This window comes from Homo sapiens, chromosome 7 (assembly GCF_000001405.40).
Source record: "Homo sapiens chromosome 7, GRCh38.p14 Primary Assembly".
NCBI lineage: Eukaryota > Metazoa > Chordata > Mammalia > Primates > Hominidae > Homo > Homo sapiens.
The window spans coordinates 140,018,809-140,042,540 of NC_000007.14; the positions used below are offsets into that span (position 1 = coordinate 140,018,809).

Below are 23,732 nucleotides of genomic sequence, written 5' to 3' on the forward strand. Positions count from 1 at the left end.
GCCAGGCGCATGACAGGTGCTCACTCATTCATTCAACAAACATTAATGAGCAAATGGATAAGCAGCCAGAGATGAGAGAAACGGGGGTCCTCACCCAGATCCTGCCCACTCCCAAGCTCTCCCTCCTTCCTGACATCTGGCTACGTCTCTGCACAGCGTTAGCTATTCCCTGCCTATCCTGACCACTGCTGTCCCCTGCACCTATCCTCATGCTTGTCCTGCCACCCGGAACCCACTGTTCAGCTGCAGACCTGGACAGGCAGGCATAGGAAGGCATAAGGACACAGTTGACAGATAGCAACAATTCTAGATTGAGACAGGCAGTGCCTCTGACAGAGAACCTGGGACCAGCTGCTGGTCCTGGAGGAATAATGAGCTTGGATGGGGGACATAGAGTCTGAGATACTGAAAGTGAACGCATCCACATACTCTGGGCTGGAGACAGGGAGGGGCAGATCGGCAGAGCAGAGCCAAACCAAGTGAGGTCAAGGGGCAGACGGAGGAGCAGCCCCACTGCATCGGGGCTTCCACGTGTGCGGGGCTTGTCTCACTTCCCCACGATCTCAACATACAGTGCAGCAGCCAGACCAGTCTCCCAAAACGCTGCTTATGCCTGGCACTCCCCGGCTTAAGAACCAGCCAGGAGTCAAGGGCTCCCCGTTCTTCCTTGTCTGCTCAGACAAGTGCTGGGGCCTGCAGCTTTTTCAGATGCCTTTGAGGGCTATGGCTCCCACAGGAGACACGTACAGCCCCAAGCACTAAGACCCTGGTGACTCTTTGCTGTCACATTAGCCACTGGCTCATCATTTTACTCAGCTCCAGAGGAAACCCAACTCCTCGAGTAATTCTTTGGTTTTTCTTCAAAGTCCCCAGTCCACCACTGGCTCTGCCTTTTAAGCTGGACATAGGAAAGCTTTCTGGATGTCAGTGAGGCCAGACCACAGCACACATGAGCAGGAACAGCATGAAGCTGCTTTCCCCAGAGCCCCTGGGCCAGAGGGCATTGCTCAGTTACTGGCCAGAACTGGAGAGTGAGATGGGGAGGATCAGCAGGGACGGCTGGAGTCACTGAAAGATAGGTTTGGGGCTTTGCTCTCTGCTTTCTTCTTGTGTGACCTTGGACAACGGACTTGGCCTTCTTGAACCTCCAAGTCTTCATTTGTACAGTGAGATGCTACTATCTCTTTGACAAATATTTTAATTTTCTCTATTTTAGGTACCGCTGCAGCTAGAATCCAAATCTGCCCTAGGTCCAAAAAATGGTGTCTATATCAAGATCGTATCCCGCTGACACAGAAGGCTGCCGGGTGGGGGGAGGGCACCCCCAAATTCAAAGAAAACCCTAAGTGTGGATGTTCAGAATTTTGGAAAAATGTCACTGAAGTGATTGAAAGAGTGCCTGGCATGCAAGGATAAGAGGTTCTTTACATAACATTTCCTAAATGCTTAATAAACGTTTGTTGCACTTGGTTTTGACATTGCCAATGGGGTTTGAACCAGTGCTCTCTCTAAATGAAGAATTGCTGATAAATAAGTGAAAATGTAGTTTTGACAAAACAACTGAGAATGTGGGGTTTTAAAGGAAGTCCCAGGCTTGTGCTGAAAGGAATCCATGGTGCAGGGCACATGAGGACCCCCAGGTAAGCCTGTCCTGATGGCACTAGCTCGTGGCTCTTTCAGCTTCTCGTGCATTGTGGAGTTGTAGAGAATGACATTTATCGAAAGTTCAACCTCAGCAGTGGTTCCAAAGCTTTATTATGCTTTGATTTTCCTAGGTAGGGTAGTACCAACTTTACAGTCAAGTTTCAATCGACAGAAAAATGAGAGTCTGAAAAATGATATACTTTTTCTTTTAAAGAACACTGTATCGGCCGGGCACGGTGGCTCACACCTGTAATCCCAGCACTTTGGGAGGCTGAGGCAGGTGGATTGCCTGAGGTCAGGAGTTCAAGACCAGTCTGGCCAACATGGTGAAACCCCATATCTATTAAAAATACAAAAAAATTAGCCAGGCTGTGGTGGCGGGCACCTGCAATCCCAGGTACTTGGGAGGCTGAGGCAGGGGAATTGCTTGAACCAGCGAGGTGGAGGTTGCAGTGAGCCAAGATCGCGCCACTGCACGCCAGCCTGGGTGACAGAGTGAGACTCCATCTCAAAAAAAACAAAAACAAAACAAAAAACACTGTATATTAATTTTGATCAAAGAATCAAAATATAGAGGTGATTTTTTTTGTAAAAATAAGTATTGTGTTGCTAAGCAGTTCACATTCAACCAAGCACTTGCAAGGTCAGTCTCACGATCAGCCACCAGCAGCTGCGCATTCATGGCTGCTGGTGAAGAGCCGTATCACCTCCCTGTGCCTCAGAGACCTCTTCTGTAAAATAAGGAGGCTGGCCTCGATCAAAAGACCACTTGTCCTCTAGTTGACACCTGAGCAGCTTTAAGAGGTTGAATGTTGTATAGAGAACGATCTTGTAGAAATCTGTAAGCCCCTTATGTGACACCCAGATGCTGACGACCCACCTTTAGAAACTTCAGGCCATTTTGGGAGAGTTGGCAGAATGAGTTTCCACATATTCACTGCTGGGACTGCTGCTTCCACTGTTTGGTGGTCCCCCATCCCCTTCAGCCAGGAGCACCCACTGTATCCCTCAAAATCCCCCTTGGGGGGCCCCTTCTCTTATTCTCTGGCCCTCCAGGCAGGAAGAGGACACCCCAGCTGCCCAGCACTGGGCCAGGCCTGTGAGTGACTGCTGCCTCAAGGTGTAGGGCTGTCCTGTGGCCCTCCCCACACCCTTGTTGCCACCACCTGCCCTTCTCCATCACCTGGCCCCTCTGCAATGCCCAGCCTGGGACTCAGACTCACTGGAGAAAACCATCCACCCCTGGGAACCTGTCGGCCTCCCTGCCTGTCCCACAATCCCTGACCTCCCCACGGCTGCCGCCACCATAGAACCTCAGCCTGCAGACAGGCCCAATGGCGCACTCAGCTCCCTGCTTGGAGCACAGCCCCACAACCTGAGTCCTCCCTTGGGACCTCCGGCCCCGCCCCCCGGCCTGTCAGCTCCATCCAGCTTCCCTCGCCTTCCCAGCTCAGTTGGTCACCACCTTCAGACACAGTGGTAGAGGCTTCCTCATGTGCTGGGGTCACTGGACTCCAGTCCTTCTACTGTGTGAGGCCACCAACCCCACCTCTGCTTAAATCCCACTGTTCACATCCAACACCAGGTATCACAGGGCAGGGAACCGCACCGCCTGGTCCTCCAAAAAACCCTCTTGCTAGATTCCCAACTGAGTCCTCACAAAGATTCTGGCCAATCCCACACACATACACCCATGTCCCAGACCCTACCACCTCTTGGCACCAAACATCTTGAGAGTCACAGTCATTTCCACCCCTTCCCATCACAATGCCCACCCTTTCTGCACCGGCAGGAACGGCTCCCTCCCCGTCATCAAGCAATCTGGCCATGTGGCTCCCACCCTCCCTAGCATTGCTGGTCCAAGGAGTTGCTCTTCCTAACCTGCTTTCTTCCAGGTCACCCAGCCATGGCTGCCAGAGTCTTCACAGCTCAGTGGACTTTTCCGGAGCAACTGAGCATCTCCCACCGGATCCCTCTGGCCGCCCTCCCCATCTACACCCCCAGTGAACCAGTTCTGCTCCCCAAATCTCCCCAGCTCCCAGATGATTCAGAAGCATAGAATCAGTTCACTTACATGCAAGACCTTAGCAACAGACATGCATCTGATTTAATGGTTTTCTCTGACACCTCTTTGCCCCTGCCCAACTACACCATAGCAGGACCAATGACTTAATGAAAAAGCAATGAGTGAAATGGCAGGATCAGTCAGGCTGTGAGGAAATTTGGAGGGGGTTCTGAAAATCATACCATGGGCAACCATGTGGCTGACCCAGCTGCTGGGTGAAGCTGTGTTGTTCTTGCTGTTCCTCTGGTCATTTACCTTGGCTCTCCTCCAGCTTGACTGCACTTGCCTGTGTTAAGGTTTCAGATCACTCCAAAGATGGAAAAATGGGTTCATATTCACCTTGGACCTGAGAAATACAGGCAAGCCAACTGAAGCCCAAGCAGCAAGTCGCCAGCAGACACACGTCCTCAGGAAGGTGGAGGCTGGGCAAAAAGCATGTAGTGAGGACCGAGTAGGGAGGGCTGACAGCCTGGTGACACCAGTGGCCCCGCCAGCCCCTCTGCCAACAGGGCCAGAACCAGCCAAAGCCCAGAAGGGAGGCTCCTGTAAACTGCCACGTGTGAGGGACACACACAACACTCTCTCCACATGCACAGCACATTGCTCAGTGGTGAACCTGGGTCTTACGGGGCCTGAAACTTATCTACGAATTGGAGGAAAGAGAAAAAAAAAGTGTAACATTTGCAAATTTTATCAAAACCTATGACCATGTGACCATATTGCTAGGGTCCCTCCTAGGGCCTGGGGAGGGGCTCCAGCAAGTGAGGGGCCCTGAACCTTCAGCTTCACTGTCTTCTTAATAAATCCATACGTAGCTCACCAAGCCGTGTCATCAGCTCTGTCACAGCCCTGATAACGGTCTGAATGTTACGACCCCCAAAATTCCAATGTTGAAATCCTCACCCCTGAGGTGATAGTATTTAAAGTAGAGGTGATTAGACCACCAGGGCGGAGCCCTCATGAATGAGATTCAGTGCCTTTATAAAAGAGGCCCTTCCACCGCGTAGGGTTACAGTGAGAAGACTGAATCTATGAGGAAGCAGGAGGTTGCACTTTATAGACTCCAAACCCGGTAAATAAACGTCTGCTGTTGATGAGCCGTCCAGTCAATGGTGTTTTGTTACAGAAGTCCAAATGAACAAAGGCAATCCCTGACTCTCAGAAAAACGCCTGGCACTCAGTAGGTGCTCAATCAATAGACGCAGAAAAATGAGCTTCAGTCTTCATCCACTTCGGATAAATTTTCTTTTATTTCCATACTCTTTTGTGACATGTGTGGCACAAGTATTCAATCTCACAGGGATGTTAAAACCCACACTCGAAGGGTGTCCAGTGTGCTTAGGAAATGTGGGTTTGCGCAATCACAGGCCAAGCCTGGGGGTCCTCGGGGAAGCTACTCCTCCAGGTCACCTGCCAGGTGGATGCACTTCCTTGGGCAATGGGTGACCCTCCCAGGACAAGGGGAACCAGCAGGGACTCGATGGCACCACACAGCAGCCACCTGTTCTGACAATGTGACACAGACCAACTAATGCCAGAGCCCAGGAGAAGCCACAGCAGAGCTGCCTGGGTTGGTGTCAGAGCAACAGGCAGAAGTGACTGTGCCGCCCGTGGGCTGTCATCCACCGGTGGCTACTGTGTCATTCTGGAAAAACTATGATGCCATGAGACTCTGAGAAACCGAATCACTGCAGAGACAAACTCATAAAAATTAAAACCAATCCATAAAATTGTATCTAGAAACTCTGTCCCTGGTGCCAATAAGCAGCAAAGTCAACAAAGAGTAAAAACTAAAACTTCAACACATTATTAAAAAGCAAAACTGGACTCAACTACAATCACTTCTGGTTAATCCACTAGTGAACCCAAAAGTGACTTAAAAGTAAAAATCATTATTAGCAAGAGATTAAGAACATAACTTCATTGAGAGGTCAATGTTAAGAGAACAGTTCATTAAAAGTTTCTGTTTAAAAAGAAAAGGAAAGGCCCAAATAGCCATTTCAAGGCAGAGCAGGTGAAAGGCCTGGAACACTCCTGTGCGCTCACTGTCGGCTGCTGAACAGGGAGCCCAAGGCCAGCAGGATGGAGGGTGTGACCGAGGGCTTGGAGGAGGTGGTGTACTGGATGACATACTCTGGGTAGACCTGGTGTTTCTCAAAGATCACAAAGATGGAGGGGTCGGACACACTGTTCACGCAGCTATCATAGAAGGCGTTGCTCCAGCCCTCCTTGGCCGGCGGACGGACAAAGGAGGCATTGCCCCTGACGAACTCGCCCACCAGCACCCGGGCCAGGAACATCGTGTGGGTCTGCGTGTCGGATTTGCTGTAGTGGTGGGAATATGCAGCATCTCGGGCAAAGTAGCTCCCTGAAATGACACACGAGGGCTCAGCTGGTGGAGGGGCCTGCAGCCAGGAAGGGTCAGCACACTGCGAATAGCGTCCTGGTGATGTGCAACGCCAGGGCCTCTACTCTTCCACCCCGCATCTCCCTCCCTCCCTCTGTGCCATGTCTCCACTCTCCCTCATGAAGTCACATGCATCAGTGATACCAACACCCTTCTGAGTGGCAGCATCTGAGGAGTTACCAAACTGAGATAGCAAATTCCTTTCAAGTTCCGGATCTGCCCCACGAAACCTAAAGGCCTGTGGACACGTCACTACTTAATCCCCCAAACCTCAGATTCCTCAGGCATAAAATGGGGCTGTTCAGCCCAACCTTACAGGGTTGGCATGGAAAATGAATGAGATCCCATATACGGAAGCAGTCTGTAGACTCTGGCAGCCCAATGTATAGAATTATGAGCCTTGTCAAATGGAAATCTGAGTTAGAAGCTGTCACCTGTACATTTAAATCCACAAGTCTACCACTGGCTGCTGTCCATCTTGACCCCTTGCCATCGCTGCCTCAGACGGAAACTGACTAACAAAGAACTGATGGACCCGGAACATGGACTGCTGGGCAGAAAATGTTCTCAACTTGGTAAGCATATTGTGGTTACAGAAGATAATGTCCTGTTCTTGGGATGTGTTAAAGGGTGAAAGGAGACAATATATGCCACCTACCTGAAAATGGTGCAGAAAGAGAGAGGGAGAGAGAAAGAGAGAAGTGGCAGCATGTTAAAACCAATGAACGCAGGTAAAATTTACCCAAAGAGGTTTTTTTTAATTATTATTATTCCAATTTTCTTGAATTTCGATTTCCAAAGAAATAGTATTTTAAAATTTTCTTTGGCAAGTTTAAAAATAACAGACAAGAAAACACTCAGATAACTCACGTGATAGCTAGAATACATGTTTACATGAGTATCTCTGAGGGTTTCTGGTTTCTATTCTAAGGAAATCAATAGTAAAGGCACAGTCAGGGACTTCATCAGGGCTGGGAAGGTATCCCCTCTCCTCTCCCGTCTCTGTCACCATCTCCCAGGGCCTCTGCTCCACAGGGAAGCAACACCCCAGCCTAGGCAGGCCACCCTGCCCACACCTGGGGCCAAGCTCCTGACCATGCCCAGAGGAGCAAGAGCAAGGATGTGACTGGTAGCTGTGCCCAGGTACCACCACACATGGAGTCTGAACCTGCTCATCAGCTCAGGCTGGTCCCCTCATGCCCTCTAGCAGTCTGTTCCTATGCAGGGGCAAAGCAACATGGGTTTTGCTGGTGGAGGCCAGTCATGCCTTACCCTTGCCGTAGGAAGTGCCATGAACACCACAGACCCGCCAGTCAAAGTTCTGCTGGCAGATGGCGTCCACAAAAATGGCGCTGGTGCCGTGGAACAGCTGCCGCTCGTCCACGGCCTTCCCTCCGTTCTGCTTCTGCATCTGTCCTTTTTGCCTAGAATCACAGAAGAATGTGTGCTGGGGGCAGAGTGTGCCGGCCACCAAATACAGCCGGCCTGATGCAAAACAACACATTTTTCCAAAATTCCAAAAGTGTCCTGGGACCAAGAGACGCAGGTCACAGGCTACCCTGACTAGGCCTGTAAGCTCCAGCCACAAGCCAGGGTGTGGAAAAGAAGGGGGATCGTGGGAGCTGGGTGAAAACCCTCCCTCCACAGCTCCAGACAGCAGCGGTTCCCTGGACTCCAAAAGCAGAGCAGCCCTTGGAAAATGGGTACCATTTCCCCCAACCCCACCCCCACCTTGCTCCTGCATGGAGCTGAGCCCTGGGATGCTGTAGGAATTTTCAGGCTGCTGGTCAGTGGGTGCCCATCCTTCTCCCCTCTCCCATTCCCAGACTTCATCACTGTGCACAGAGTACACATTACACTACCCCAACCCCATCTGGGGACAGGTCAGCAAGACCCAGCCTGCCATGGTGACCTATTGTAGGATTCCTCCCCACATAGACAGGTGAGTGGGTGCTCAAGGACAAGCCAGTCCTCATGTATGAACCTGAGACCCCTGCTGTCTAGCCACAGCCTTATGTTCCTGGGGCTAATGGTGTGGTGGGCTGTACTGACCCATCCCACTGGTCTCCAGGAAGGCAGAATGGACAAGTGAGAGTGCTAGCTTTGCCACCACTCATGAACGGGACCAGGTGGTATGCTCCAGGAAGCCTCGGTGCCCTCATCTCTACAATGGGATGTGCTACCACACTGCCCTGGGGGAGCGGACGAAGGAGAGCAGACACACAGCTCCCAGCACATGGCAGCCCTAACTGCCGCTCTGCTTTTCCTGGAAACCCGGGCCACATGTGGCAACCAGCCAGTGGTGTGAAGGGACAGAGTCACCAGCCCACCAAGAGCGAGCCCCAACGCACCACTGGTAGACTTCCCAGAGGGCCAGGTTCTGTACTCGCTCAATCTTCTGAACAAAGTAGAAAGGCAGCGTGCGGTTAAAGAGGTTCCAGACCTTCTGATACTCTTCCGAGGAAGAACTAAGGGTGATCTTCTGCAAGGGGCAAATGTTTTTAATGCATTACCATCAACGTGCAGAATATAAATCAGTCCCTTCCCAAAGCTTCTTGTAAACACTAGAACCGCAGAAGCACAAAAGCCCAGAGAGCAGTGACCACATTCTCCTGTGGTTTCTCCAGGCACAGGAGACAATCGGTCCTCATGAAATGTCATTGATAGGTTCTTGGAAACTGCAATTTTAAGTAAAACAACAAACCTCTTGTTTATGTCAGTTAGCATATGGGAAATTGGTTTCGTTAGACAGTATGTTGTGCCACTTTAAGTCAGTTTCCAAGAACCTACTGATGATGTTGAGGATTTACTATGTTTGCAAATTGTAGTCACTTTGCTCCTCATCACTGTGAAACCAATCTAAAGGACAGACACGTGATGCTTAAGCCACCATCGAGGGTATCCCCTGGATGTCCCTGCCTTTTTTTTTTCTTGTCCCACACAGGTCAAAGACACAGGTTGGACTACATGGTCCAAGGACCACAGAGTCGTCTAGACAAACATGTTGAACCCCTTTAGGTCCTTAGCACTTCTTGCCTGCACTGTTGGCATCTGCATGTGCCTTATACAAGCTCAATAAGTCCTCCCAGGACAGGGACCGTCACGTTTTAAAGCTGAGTTAGACAGTGCTCGGCAGCCGGCCAGCTGGCAGACATCAGCCCAGGTGCAGACGGGCAGCCTCAGATGTTAGTCTGCGTACTCTCCTGCACTCAGCACAGCTCCCACTGGTCAGAGCCCCTCAACAAGCTGCCAAATTGACTGTCCATTCTCCTGTCTGCTAGTCGTGAATGCCTTCCCTCCTGACAGTAACCCCATTCCAAATGTCCATCGGACTCAGGTCCTCCCCAGGCTGCTTCTCCTTTTCTCGCTTAATAAAATTGGTATTTATTGGTTAAGCCCAGCCCATAAACTCATTTCTGCCCTTTCTAGCAAATTTCACGCTCATCCTCCTCCCTCCACAAGACAACCCCTCCCCTCAGAGCCACAGCCAACTCCTGGGTGGTGAAAAAACAAAACCCTCTGCAAAAAACAAAAACAAAAATAAAGCCCACATCTGTCACTGCCCTCCTGCCCCAATTAGCCCCAGCCTTACAGCTTCTTCAGTGTTGAGGAATGGCACAGTCTGTTCACACACACCCACTTCTACAGAACACCTTCCTGTCCAGCCCCAGGCGCATGCGTCCCCTACCTGAAAGCCTGGGTCTGGCAGGGCAGAGGAGTCCCAATAGTCTGGGATGCTCTTCGGGCCTGGAAACTTGGTATTGCTACAAAAATGTAAACAAAAACACGTAGACATTTTATTCTTACACAAAGCAAATATACCATAGGTGGTCTCTGCTAGCCAATATCACCAGTCTTGAGTCTCAGCACATCATATTTCAAGAGCAGGTAGAAGGCAAGGAAGAATGTTAGCACGATATTCACAACATGAGAGCACTTTTATCTTTGCCTATGTAGCCAAACTCCAAACAGTCCTGAGAGATCTATTTCTCGCCTGTGTCCCAACTACCACACAAAAGGGATAAAAGGGATGGAGTACATGGTTAAAGGAGCACACACACAGCCATAAACCTTTATCCACAATTCTGAAATTCTAAGAGCTCTAAAGACATTTTTTTAAGGCCTCGATGAGGTATAATTGACATTTTAAAACTTTTTATACAGCTCAGGAAAAGCAGGAGAAAATATGAAATAAAACATTTTTTGAAAAACATAAAAGTGACATCAAAAGTCATTTGGCAGTAGAAATTTGACTGAAGTTAGTAAGAGGCCACTGTGATCTGTATCTATCCTTCTTAAACTGACTATGCATATTGTTTACTGCAGAAATATTAATGTGCTAAAATACAGAGTGTCACGTGATACAAGCATCACATTATCTTTCTAAAAATTAAATAAAAGCAGTTCAAAAGACATATGGATCAAGGGTTCAGGAACAAGGACTGTGAAACTATAATTACAAATCATTCCTATTAAGTTTCAGAATACACTGTTCTTTCTAAATAGATCTACCTTCTGTTTCTGCTGGCATGAAACATATACCTTCATCCTAAGCCTCAAAGAACTCCCACAAATAACTTTCCTGGGAAAATGGCACAGTTCAAAAATAACTAAGCAAGGTCCTACCAGCAAGAATCAGCCAAAAACAGACCCACAAAGACTTAAGATGCTGAAATTATCAGAGAGATTACAAAACAATTATTCTTCCTATGTTTAAAGGAAAAAAAAAGACAAACTTTAAAAACATATGCAAGGAACAGGAAACTATAAAAAGACCTGGAAGATCTAAAAAAGAACCAAATAGAACTTACAGAATTAAGTACAATCTTTAATAATAAAAGTGTAGTGGACAGGCTTAATAGCAGATTAGACCAGCTGGAGGAAGAATCAGTGAGCTGAAACATATGTGAAATGAAATTGTCCAGAATGTGGCCCACAGCAACAAGGAAATGGAAAATGCAGGAAAGAAGTTGAGACATGGAGAACAGTGAGAACTTGAATATGATCAGAACCTAAGTGAAGCTCTAGGAGAGGAGAGACAAGACAGTGGAGGCGATTTTCAAAGAGAACTGATGAGATGCACCTATCCGCAGCTTAAGAAGCCCAAAGAATCTCAACCATGATAAATAAAAGCACATACTTAGATACACTTTAGTGAGGATGCCTACCTCCAAGACAAACAGAAGCTCTTAAAAGTAGCCAAAGGAAAAAAGAGTGATTACTGTCAAAGAAGCACCTGTTAGACCAACAGGCAATTTCTCAAAAGCAACAGTGGAAGCCAGAATACAGTGGAGTGATCATCACAATGATCCAAGAGAAAATCCCTACAACCCAAAATTCTATACCCAGTGAAAATTTCCTTCAAGATTGATGGCAAAATAAATACATGTTGGCCAGGCGCAGTGGCCCACGCCTGTAATCCCAGCACTTTGGGAGGCCGAGGTGGGCAGATCACTTGAGATCAGGAGTTCAAGACCAGCCTGACCAACATAATGAAACCCCATCTCCACCAAAAATACAAAAATTAGCCGGGCATGGTGGCGCACGCCAGTAGTCCAAGCTACTCAGGAGGCTGAGACAGGAGAATCGCTTGAACTCAAGAGGCGGAGGTTGCAGTGAGCCAAGATCATGCCACTGCACTCTGGCCTGGGCGACAGTGCGACTCCATCTCAAAATACATACATACATACATGCATACATACATACGTACATACATATTCAGACAAACCAAAAACAGTTTTCCAACAAATCTTCATCGAAGGCAGCCTTGTCCAACCTGCAGCCCGCAGGCTGCATGTAACCCAGGACAGCTTTGAATGTGACCCAACACAAATCTGTAAACTTTCTTAAAACATTATGAGATTTTCTTGTGGTTTTTATTCTTTTAGTTCAGCTATCGTTAGTGTTAGTGTATTTTATGTGTGGACCAATTCTTTTTCCTCTAATGTGGCCTGGGAAAGCCAAAAGATTGGACACCCCTGATCTAAGGTAATCTGAAAGGACAAAGTGGTAAAAATGTGAGTAAATTTAATGAAACTTTCAGAGTATAAAATAATGGTGCCTCTTGAGGTTTAAAAAAAGTTGAGAGGAAGGCAAATGGAAGAAAAGATAGGAGGGCAAAGATATTGATTTACTTGTACTTAAGTGAAGAACATGTAGTTTCTACCATAGCCTTTAAAATATACATATACACAAAAGAAGGTAAGAAAAGAAAAAATAAGACCCAATCACATGAATGAAACATTTTCATAGAGGATGGGCAACATGGTGAGACCCTGTCTCCACAACAAATAAAAAAATTAGCTGGGCATGGTGGCGCATGCCTGTGGTCCCAACTACTTGGGATGCTGAGGTGGGAGGATTGCTTGAGCCCGGGAGGTGGAAGGTGCAATAAGCCGTGATCAGGTCACTGCATTCCATCCTGGGTGACAGAGTGAGACCCTGTCTCATAAATAAATAAATAAATAAATACATAAATAAATTTTACATGACACTCCTGTATTATGACTTCTGAATATGGACATTACATTTTATGACCTCATTAATTGTGTAAACAGAAAAGTTGTTTCTGAAAGTGATCTACCCTCAGATTCCCAATTGGCCATGCAGGCCCAGGCAGACTTGCTTACTGGAGTTAATGACAACCAGCTGCTGGCACATGGGTCAGAGAGAAGAACTGAACACTTCATCTGTGTGAACAGTGTGTGACACTCCGCTTACAGGAGACCCCAAATCACCCATATCTTAGTCTGAATCACTTTTAGTTTGGACATTTGGCATCTTCTTGTGGCCCCCTAAAAACTAAATTAGAATAAGAGAGATCTACTCTCAGAAAGCAGAGAGACTTTTCCAAACCTTGTCTAGGGTAGGCTTTGTATAGGAAAAGAATAAAAAATGACTTCCAGAAATAGGAGGGTCATAATCAACCAAAACTCTAAATCCAGAATCAGTAAGACACTGATACATTTAACTAAAATAATAAGAGATATATATTTATGGTAAAATACTTCACAGGCAAAGTCAAAAGGCAAACAACAAACTAAGAGAAAATATTTGCCATTTATATAACAAAACGAGGGCCAACCTCCCTAATAGATAAAAGGCTCTTGATATTTAAGAAAAATACCAGAAAGTTGATAGAAAAATGGATAAAAAGACCAACAGTCCACAGAAAAAGAAGCAAAAATGGCACTTACATGTTAGAAATAATATTCAACCTCACTCCTAAGAGAGAGCAAACTGAAGTCCACTGACCCATCTTTACCCCTGAGAAATGCAAAAGCCCAAGAGCCTGACAACTCACTCTGTGGCATCTCATGCGTCCTAGTGGGTGTGCATAATGATTCAAGCCCATGGAAAGGAATTTGGTTTACTTCCTACGACTCTGACCTAACAGTCGACCTCCAAAATTTGTTTTTTTTAATTAAAAAAAAAAAGAGACAGGGTCTCGCTATGTTGCCCAGGTTGGTCTCAAACTCCTGGGCTCAAGCGATCCTTCCATCTTGGCCTCCCAAAGTGCTGGGATTATAGGTGTGCACCACCGCACCTGGCCATACCTCCAAAATTTGAAACAGCACATACATCAAATGGTTCATCACGACATTATACTTTTTAATAGCAAAAGACTGAAAACAACACAAACATCCATGAAAAGGGGACATATTAAGTAAACTATGGTACATACATATTACAGAGAACCAGGAAAGAAGAAACGGATTGAGGAAGTTAATGAATTGAAACAAAGTGATTATCATGATCTATTTTTAAGTGAAAACAAAAAAGGGTATAGAACAGTATAGATAGCATGTTCCCTTTTGTGCAAGAAGAAAATACTTTTATATGTATGTATGCAAATGCTTATTTTTGCAAAGAGAAACATAAAAAAGAGAAACCGGAAACTAATGTTACCCACAGTGGGAACAGGGTAGAGATAACAGGGAGGAAGTTACAGTCTACAGAGGATACCATTTTATATAGGTTTGACTTTTAATCACGTGAAGGTTTTACACATAGTCAAAAACAATAATAATAATAATTATTATTTTTGAGACGGGTCTCACTCTGTCACCCAGGCTGGAGTGCAGTGGTGTGATCTTGGCTCACTACGGCCTTGACCTCCCTGGGCTCAGGTGTCTCTCCCACCTCAGTCTCCTGAGTAGCTGGGACTACAGGCGCACAGGCTGGTCTCGAACTCCTGGGCTCAAGCAATCTACCCGCCTCGGCCTCTTGAACTGTTGGGATTACAGGTGTGAGTCACTGCACCCAGCGCAAAAATAAATTTTAATTTAAAAAGGAAAAAGTAAGGCACATTCCCAGGAAATTACTTTGCTAGGTCTGACTCACAAGGCAGTTTCGTGGACTGATAATACCTTTCTCCTCTATCTTGTACCAAACTCATTTAAAAACGACCTTTGCATGCTTCACAAAACAAAAGAACCAAAAGAGACATTGTTGGTTCTCCATAAAATAGACACAAGCCAGACCTCTCAGGCGAACAGAAGGTGCAGCCAGCTACCAGTAACACTGCCTAAAGTCCCAGCACTGGCTCTGGCAAGCCCAAACTGTATGGGCACTGTGGTCCCTCTCCACCATGCAGGCCACCTTCCCCCAATATGTGGCTGTGTGGTTTGGAGAACACTGACCCCTTCCTCTCAGTTCCAATCCCATCCCACCTCCCCAAGCCTAAAATAACACCAGAGGTTGAGATAGGGTCTGATCAGTACAAAGCACAAGAATTTCCCCTCATCTGCTATAGGAGGTTTCTCTCCTCCCTTCTAGGGGCTCACAGGCCACAGGCTAACCTGGTGGCTCCTGGCAGCCATCTTGGGACTGAAAGAAACTCACCCTGACGAAGCTCGCCCATTAGTGACTGCAATATCTGTTTTTAGAGTTTTGGTATTCCGTGATATTCAAATACTAAAATACATGAGTTTTTATTGGTGTAATTCCATCATTATTTCATTATTTCAACATTTAAAAAATTCAAGTCTATGACTCAATGATTCCACAGAAAAGACAAACGGATGGGTTGGCTTCAAGTCTAGACTCGCCTTCAGAGTCTGTCTTCTCCAGAGAATCATCGCAGATCACAACAGGCAGCCTTCTAATTATGCATCACGAAGCTTCTACCCACAGGGTAATTCCCACTCTGGTCCAACTAGTAGAAGACAAACGATAACAGAGTGTGGGAGCACTTCGTTGTACAAGCCAACGGTGCCCGGGTGCTGTCTGAGGCAGGTTTTCTGTCACCACTGCAGAGCACACCCCAGCTGATTACATCCTAAGTACCAAGCCCCCCACTGCAACCTACCAGGTTTGCATGGTCGTCACATCCTGGGGAGACACGTATTTGGGTCTGCGGCAAACCTTTTTAGTTGTGCCATAGACCAGGTTTTTCTGAACGAAGGCTGAAAAAAAACATAACCAGTGAAAAAATATACATATACATATACATACACACAGGATGGCAATGTTTTATAAACACAAATTAGATAGATTTGAAAGCTTATCCAAATGTGTAAAACCCAGAATCAGTCTGTTAAAAATAGGGCCATTTTACACATTTCAAATATTCATAAAGAAAATAGGTATCCTTAGGAGACTGGGTTTAATGAATAGAGGAATGATTAGTAATTGACATATCAATTACACATGAGTGCTTTTAAATTGTTCCTTCCAATCTTGTTTAAACCATTATTTTGCTTGGCAATTTTTCCCAGCTTGGATATAAAAAAGCCTCAGCCCAGCCTGAGATCAAACTACCATGTCTTGAGTTAGTGGGATTCAGAGTTAATGTAAGTTTTATGACTTTGTTTTAGTTAAACTATGGCAGTATTCATCAACCTTTCTAAACCAATAATATCTTTAATAAACAAATTTCTTGCTTCCCCACCCTCAAGAATCCCATACTCATCCTGAGGATTTGGGGTTGGGGGAACTGGCCCCTCAAGTTGAAAAATGACAAATACCTAGCAGTGTTTGTTCTGTCCTTGCCTGCCAGGAAAACCCTCTCAAGTCTTACATTTTTTTTAAGAGATGGGGTCTTTTGCTTTGTTGCTCAAGTGGACCTTGAACTCACCAGCTCAAGTAATCCTCCCACCTCAGCCTCCCAAGTAGCTGGGACTACAGGTTTGTGACACCATGCCCAACTAATTTTGTTTTCATTTACAAAACATTTTAATATTAAAAATTATAGGTGTCCAGAATTAGCCTTATTGCAGTTGAGCATAAACTGGATGGTTATCCAAGTGTGTGTCTCTTAGGTTGCAGCTGAGATGGTCACTATTCCTGGAGGTCCATCCACATTCTCATTCAGAGCCCATGATCCAGATGCAGCAACCATGACCCCTTCTGTTACCCACTACTCAGCCGCCCATCAAGACCATTCTCACTGGCATATTTAAATGGGTGTTACTGGCCTACTGGCCATCTGTGATGAATCTTAAATGGCTTTCACTGGTGAAATTAAAAGTGAGCTAAGATACGTGGACTGGCTAAATGTGTGTCAGACACATTCCCTACCCTTCTATGGACACAGTAAAGTGAGGTCTTTTCCCTAATTTACCCTTCCAGAGGATACCCTAGGCTACAGCCTGTCTTTGGGGAATTCTGCCCCGTCAGACACCACCTAACAGGATGCTAGAATTCTGCCTCTGGAATCCTGGCATTTGCCTTGAGTGAATCATTTATGACAAGAGTCCCTAAAAGGGCAGAACTGAATCATCCCTAAACCTTCAGAACAACTCATTTGGGCTCTTTTGTGTGTTTTAAATGTACTTGCTTCCTAATAAACAGCTAATAAATATGTGTGGCAGTTTGCTTTGAGACTTGCTTTATACTTAGAAGTGAAGTTGTGGGGGAAGAAGCCAATTCATCTCAAGCTTCTTTTATGGATACTGGTATCTACCAAAAGAAGGAGGAGGAAGAGGAGGAGGAGGGGGAAGAGGAAGAGGAGGAGGAAGAGGAAGAGGAGGAGGACGAGGAGGAGGACAAGGAGGAGGACAAGGAGGAGGAGGAGGAGGAGGAGGACGAGGAGGAGGAGGAGGACGAGGAGGAGGAGGAGGAGGAGGAGGAGGAGAAGGAGGAGAAGGAGGAGAAGGAGGAGAAGGAGGAGAAGGAGGAGAAGGAGGAGAAGGAGGAGAAGGAGGAGAAGGAGGAGAAGGAGAAGAATTGTGCCCACTCAAATGGGCTTCGGTCAGTCTGCAGGAATCATAAACTGCACGTGTGTGCTCTTCCCCATCCCTATTATGAGGTTCTGTTATGTCCCCAGGGTGTGGCCTAGGTTGGGAATGATCAAGGTAGTATCTGACATTTCTATCTGTTTTGATATTTTCCAGATATTTAAAAGAAATATTCCAGATTGCTGTCAGCAGCAGTCAGATGTATGCTTGCCACACAGTCCTGACCTTCAGGGCAGTCCTGATTTGATTAACGTCTATGCTCTCACTGGTCCCCTCTCATGCACTGGTGTGTGTCAGGCCGTGGAAAGCAAACCAGACCACACGTGGCTGGCGCTCTCCAGCAGAGGCAGTTCGCACTCTAGAGGAGAAAAACTTCACCGTAAAGGGCATGTCAAGGGGGTAGTGATCTACCCTAAGCAAAACCACAAGTGCCACGAAACCACAAGCAAAACCAAGGCCAGAAACAGACAGCCAAAGTGGTTTTAGGATAATTCACCAGACACTTCACTATACTCCACATAGAATAAACGTCTGCAAAAATAAAGAAAACCATAAACTGTGTTTAAAGGAAGGCCCACTTACTCCCTTATAAAATGCTGAACATTCAGAAGGACTCAGAGTTTAAAATGTGAAATACAGGCAAAACGGAACTGAATAAAGCTGGACCGATACACTCATGAGGAAATGGCTTAAGAGAAACTACACAAAATTAAAACTTAAAAAAAAAAAAATTCTCACACATCAGCCACTTGGAGGAACTGGCCAAAGGGTGGCCTATTTCTCTCTGTAAGGCAACCAGGATGAAACATTTCAGCCCCAGCCTCAGGACACCATGAGTGCACGAAAATCTGCTTCTCAGGGACTTTCAATTACTCTGTGTCCTACCATCCGTTAAACCCATCAACTCCAAAGTCGCCTACAGAAAAGATGGCAGCAGGCCAGGCGCGGTGGCTCATGCCTGAAATCCCAGCAAACTGGGAGGCCAAGGTGGGTAGAACGCTTGAGGACAGGAATTCAAGACCAGTCTGGCCAACATGATGAAACCCCGTCTCTATGAAAAATACAAAAAATTAGCCAGGTGTGACGGCTCATGACTGTAATTCCAGCTACTTGGGAGGCTGAAGCACGAGAATCACTTGAACCCGGGAGGCGGAGGTTGCAGTGAGCCAAGATCACGCCATTGCACTCCAGCCTGGGTGACAGAGCGAGACTCCGTCTCAAAAAAAAGATGACAGCAGCACTGCTGCAGCAGGGAGTGAAAGGCAGACACTGCACGACGGAGCTGCTCGGACACCTGTCAGGGACTCAGGTTAGTCCTCGGATACAGCAGGACAACCATGCTACATGCATGCTGACCCTGCTTGTCCTCCACACTTGGGGCTCCTGCCCCTCCTGGGGTCCATTCTCCTCACATCCTTGATGCAGTTCTTCCTCCACTGCACAGGGCCAGTGTCATCTGTCTCCAGGTCTACCTTGGACCTGGTACCTTGCTTTTCTTTCCTGTACCCACCCAGGCCCTCAGTATGTGCACACGGCTCCTCCAGGGTTAAGGTGTAGGGACAGAGCCAACACAGGCAGGCTCTGCTGGGCGAGGGCAGGGCACAGGATACCTTTGAAATCTAACTCGTAGTTGTGCTTTCCGGCCTGGAACTTCAAGGTGGCTGCCTGGCCGTCAGACCCCGGTGTACAGTAGGCCAGGTAGGCCTTCTCCACGTCGCTACTGCTGACAGTGGTCACAGGGTGCACCGTGCCCTGCGATGGAAAGCCAGACACTTTATGAAGGCAAGAAACTGCGTGATGAGGAAAAACGCTGGTGGCACCCACGCCACATTTCAGAGGTGCTCCTGGTGGACAGTCCTGTGGTGGGGAAGATGGAGGCCAGGGAGCATGGTATGGCAGGAGAGAGAGGCACAGAATGGAGGCAACATGACTGTCTCCTGAAGCTGCCCTAGCAAACACAATGCAGTAAATATGGGTCCTGCTGAGCAGGAAGACAGGGATGGGAGCAACGGAGAGGAGGGCACTCAAGTCACCTAGGACAGAGGACACGGCAGCCATTCAAATGCCGGCAGAACAGCAACAGCGACTTCTGGAGTGCTGCTTGACTGGGCAGCCCAAGCCAGGCTGGTCTTACCCGTCTATTCACGTTGCAACCATCCTTTAATCAGAGCTCGGTCCTCTTCCTTGCGGTTTTCTTTTTCTGGTCCCTAGGAGCATTCATCTATTTTTTAAATTATCCATTTCAATCCCTATCCTTCCACAATTACCTACAGGAAATCTCGTAGCTTCAGCTGGAGTGAGTTTGAATTCTGGCTCCCAAACCTGCTGGCTCTATAACTTTGGCAAGTTATCTTAACCTCCCTGAGCCTCCGTTATCTCAAGCTTATAATATGAATAATAGTACTTAGGCCATATTCATCCCTTTATACAACAGGACTATATTGTCCTCACAGGGCTGGAGAAATCATTTAAATAAGGCATGTGGAGCACTTAGTACAGTGCCCAGAACAAAACATACTCAATAAATGTTACTATTATCATCACCGTTCTTATTAAATTTGAGATTACACTGACAACTAAAATTAAAGTTATTCAACCTATAACCAACTAACTCCCTCTGTCCCTGTCAATTTTCCTGCTCCCCCTACTGCTACCATCCTAGTTCTCCTGGGTCACAAGCTTTAGGTGTTACTAACAGAACAAAAGTGAGACAAGACAAGAGTCACCCATGCCTCTGCGCAACTGAGTCCAGCAATGGAGAAGGGGAAAAAAAAGTACCCAGATATTTCAAAGCCTCAAGCACAAGGTCCCACACAGGTCTCACGGGTGCTCTAGACGCTGAGATGGGTAACTAAGAATGACCAAGGAAGGGTGAGACCCAGCAAAGGTTTCTTGGAAGAAAAAGATGCCTGAGCCAAGGCCCAAGCCCGAGGGATGACATGAGTTGGCCCCATGAGGACCATAAGGGGCGGGTGTAAGAGGTATAATGGTTTGTAAAGCAGCCTCCTAGTTTACGGTCTCATAGCGGCGCCTAAGTTTCTCTCTCTGAAGTCTGTCTTCCTTCAAAACCAAGCCATTAGACTAGAGTCCGGGAGGAAGAGGATGTGGCATAAAAATCCCTTTCTGACAACAAGAGGAAAGGAAAAGAAAACAATCCCTCCCCTTTGGGCCTGAGGAAATGAAGCTCTGAGTCAGGGAAACAGAGAGGAGAAGCAGCAGTCAGATGCAGGCGTCCTGCCCCGACCCAGGCCTCCAGTCAAAATCCCTGCAGATGGATGGTCACAGAGGGAGGGAAGATGCAGGTGGATGAGCAGAAAGCAAAAAGCAAAGAGTTTTTTTGCCCTCAGTGGGAGGTTTGGAAGGAGAAACCAACAATGGCAGCCATATTATGTGTTAAGCTGAGAAAGGTCTCGGTTTAGCACCTGGAGGCACCAAGTGAGATGTGGAAGGAATGACAGATTCCCACATGTCCTGTGGCAGGACCAGCAGGTGTCTGATTTTGACATGAAATGTTGGAGTACTTCTTGAGCTCAGACAGAAAAAACTTAGCTTTTCTGGGAATCAAGAGAAAACTGTTTTGAAGTGGCAATTAACAGAAAACTAAAAAAGAAACCTAAATGTGGGGTTATACCAGAAACGTGTAGGAAAGGGAGGACAAGACAAACCAGATCATCCTAGGCTGTCCAGCCTGAAGCCACCAAGCCTACATGTGTTTCTACGCCCCCACTAGCACGTGGCATATCAATAACATCCACACGCGGTTCATCCCCAGACATTCTCAAACTGCTCGCCATGAGTTTCTGCACTGCCACAGAGGAAGAGGAGCACAGGAAAGAAAGGGGCACGCTCCAGGTGTTGGCTGACTGGAGGAGACCGGCCCCAACAACCAGAGCTGTGATGAGACACCACCGGGGAACCCTACTTTTGCATGGGTTGCCCAGAGCCCTGTGTCATCTCATTCAGCAACCAGCGGTCTCCTCCGAGAAGCCGGACAGATCCCCAAACAGAATGAACGTGATGGTCACATCTGCTAAGTGTGTTGCGCCTGCCATCTGTCCCTCCATCTCCAGGAGAGCCGGGATTCCCGGAGCATGATTGGGCAGTCATCCTCTCCCCCTCCTCCATGTCACGCCAGCCTCTTCCCCTCACGCTCCTGACCAAACCCAGAGAGCTTATCTGGATGAGTCCCACAGGGCAGGTCAGAGAGAGTCCCAGGTCGCCCACGACGGGAGGGAGACAGGTGGGAAAGGCAGGCAGGGCAGAGCAGCAAGCAAGGAGAGGCTGGTGCTGGCAAGAGGGGAGCAGGGGAGGAGAGGGGAAAGGAAGTAGTGCAAGGCAGCAAGGCCATCGCTGAGAGTGACCATCTCCAGCTGACCAACAGACACTGTCAGTAACACCCTCCTCCTTCCATCAGCCAATGTCTATTTCCTGAGGACTGGCTATGCATCATTCCACACACGGGATACGATGGGGCAAAAGAAAAGACAAAAGTCCCTGCCCTCATGGAGCTTACATTAGAGCATCACCAGAGTTAAAGGGCATTCTGAGTGCAGTTAAGAATAAGAAACTAAAGCTTCAATATAGCCTCTTGAAACCCAGAAGAGTACAAAATACCTATCGATTTTCATTTTGGAGGGTGAGTTCTTTATCAATGGTGCCTTCCCTAAACTTGTACTTGAGATGGAATCTCGCTCTTTCGCCCAGGCTGGAGTACAGTGGTGTGATCTCTGCTCACTGCAACCTCTGCCTCCCGGGTTCAAGTGATTCTCATTCATACCTCAGTCTCCCGAGTAGCTGGGACCACAGGCATACGCCACCACACCTGGCCAATTTTTGTATTTTTAGTAGAGATGGGGTTTCACCATGTTGGCCAGGCTGGTCTTGAACTCCTGACCTCAACTGATCTGCCCACCTCGGCCTCCCAAAGTGCTGGGATTGTAGGCATGAGCCACCACGCCCGGCCTAAACTTGTATTTCTATAAGTGACCAGGGGACTCCCTTTAATCTGACCCATCCACAAACACCTGCGAAGAATTGACAGCAACTATTTTTTGTTATTTGGCTTGGATTCCAAACCTATACATGATATAAATCAATTTTCTTATATTTGCCTACCTTCTGTAAAGTTGCAGAAATGGCAGACAACCAGTTTGAAAAGCCTTTACCTCTATATCACAGCTACACAAACACACTTGCACACATAGGCACCAGCTGTGGGGTTAAGTTACCTGTTCAACAAGAGAAACATCTTTCTATCCCATTTAATAAAACCAATGAAGAAACTTGATCTCACTACAAATTTGTCATTCAGTTCTCATGAGCCAACAGATGGAAGCTCTTCAAAGATGAAAGCTCATACAAATAAATTCCAACTTATCTAGTTTTGCCATAATTCTCCCAAAGCAAGTGAGCCACACTGGCACCTGGGGATCCTCAGCTCTCTCAAGGATGCCCCTGGCAACAATATGGGGGCTCTTATTTGGCTCCTCTCTTACAGATCCTCAGGACAAAACATTCACCCTCTTTCCATCACACTTACCTGTCTTCCATATTCCTGCCAAGAACCAAACTCATCACTCCAGTACCAAATCCAGTCAGTGGTGAGGATGAAGTGTGGAGGTTTGGTGACAGAGGAGGCCGTGGAGAGGCGGCGAGCCTGGGTAGCACCGTAAGTCATGGCGTTAAAGTTCAGACAATGAGAGTGAAAGGTACTGGCTGACTCAGAGCACAGGATCCTACAGAAGAAAAACAGCAGCAGACTGAAAATCCCACCAGCCAAGCAGACACAGGTCCCTCAGCTTGAGAACATATAGCTGGGAGATGCGAATAGTAAATGTGGCATGCACATTTTAGAAAAAGTTCCCAGAGGTAGAGGAAACTGCTTTTTCAGATCAGTTTTGAGGTATAAAAATATCAAAATCAAGATAATGTGGGAGACTAGTTATGACGAAAATTCCTCTCAGTACAAAATGCCGAAGATGCTGGTGAAATCATTCTTTTTTAAAATTCACTGCTGAGCTGGCAAGAAAGGGAAGTCCTCAGAAGCCAAAAATAACAATAGTTAACATATACTGAGTGTTTACTGTGTGAGCCAGACCCTGCATTAAGCACTTTATATGTATTAGGCGATGACATTTTCACAACCCTATGAGGTTGAGACTATTATCTCCACTTCACAGACGGGAAAACAGAAGCTCAGGAAGGTGAAGAAACCTGTTCAAGGTCAAACAGCTAGTCAGCGGGCGAGCTGGGCTTTCAGGTGGGCAGGTGGGCTGCACAGCCTGCACCTGAGCCACCAGGACACGCTCCCTTTCTAAACGCAGTACTGCCTAAAGACCAAAGGAAGGTACGAAACTGGAGAGCGGAGAGGAGGGCGAGAGCCAGCAGCTATCCCAGGGCAGTATCGATGAGTAACGACAGAGAGCCTGGGCTTTGG

At 47.2% G+C, this 23,732-nt stretch overlaps 2 protein-coding genes across 16 annotated transcripts in view, besides 1 other annotated feature; one reads left to right on the top strand and one right to left on the bottom strand.

The window, feature by feature from the left end:
• TBXAS1 (thromboxane A synthase 1) overlaps positions 1-1,485 on the top strand; it is a 242,052-nt gene extending 240,567 nt beyond the window's left edge. For all 7 annotated transcript variants that reach the window (NM_001130966.5, NM_001166254.4, NM_001314028.4 and 4 more), the window contains one exon: positions 1,217-1,485. In NM_001130966.5, the coding sequence (NP_001124438.2) occupies positions 1,217-1,291 (75 nt within the window). In that variant the 3' untranslated portion in view covers positions 1,292-1,485. The remainder of the gene's footprint in view (positions 1-1,216) is intronic.
• PARP12 (poly(ADP-ribose) polymerase family member 12) overlaps positions 4,941-23,732 on the bottom strand; it is a 39,203-nt gene continuing 20,411 nt past the window's right edge. Inside the window, exons 6-12 of one of the 9 annotated variants that reach the window (NM_022750.4) lie at positions 22,836-23,031; positions 18,907-19,048; positions 15,427-15,523; positions 9,805-9,880; positions 8,468-8,598; positions 7,389-7,540; positions 4,941-6,077 (exon numbers count right to left, since the gene is read on the bottom strand). In NM_022750.4, the coding sequence (NP_073587.1) occupies positions 5,752-6,077; positions 7,389-7,540; positions 8,468-8,598; positions 9,805-9,880; positions 15,427-15,523; positions 18,907-19,048; positions 22,836-23,031 (1,120 nt within the window). In that variant the 3' untranslated portion in view covers positions 4,941-5,751. Of the gene's footprint in view, positions 6,078-7,388; positions 7,541-8,467; positions 8,599-9,803; positions 9,881-13,706; positions 15,274-15,426; positions 15,524-18,906; positions 19,154-19,430; positions 19,504-22,835; positions 23,032-23,732 lie in introns of those variants that run through there. The other 8 variants (XM_047420739.1, NR_130117.2, XM_047420741.1 and 5 more) reach the window with 8 other exon arrangements.
• Positions 17,704-17,753: a silencer, noted in NCBI's record as "silent region_18701". NCBI's record gives its function as "represses an Ori minimal core promoter by ATAC-STARR-seq in GM12878 lymphoblastoid cells {active_cell/tissue: GM12878}" and the evidence as "EXISTENCE:reporter gene assay evidence [ECO:0000049][PMID:35858748]".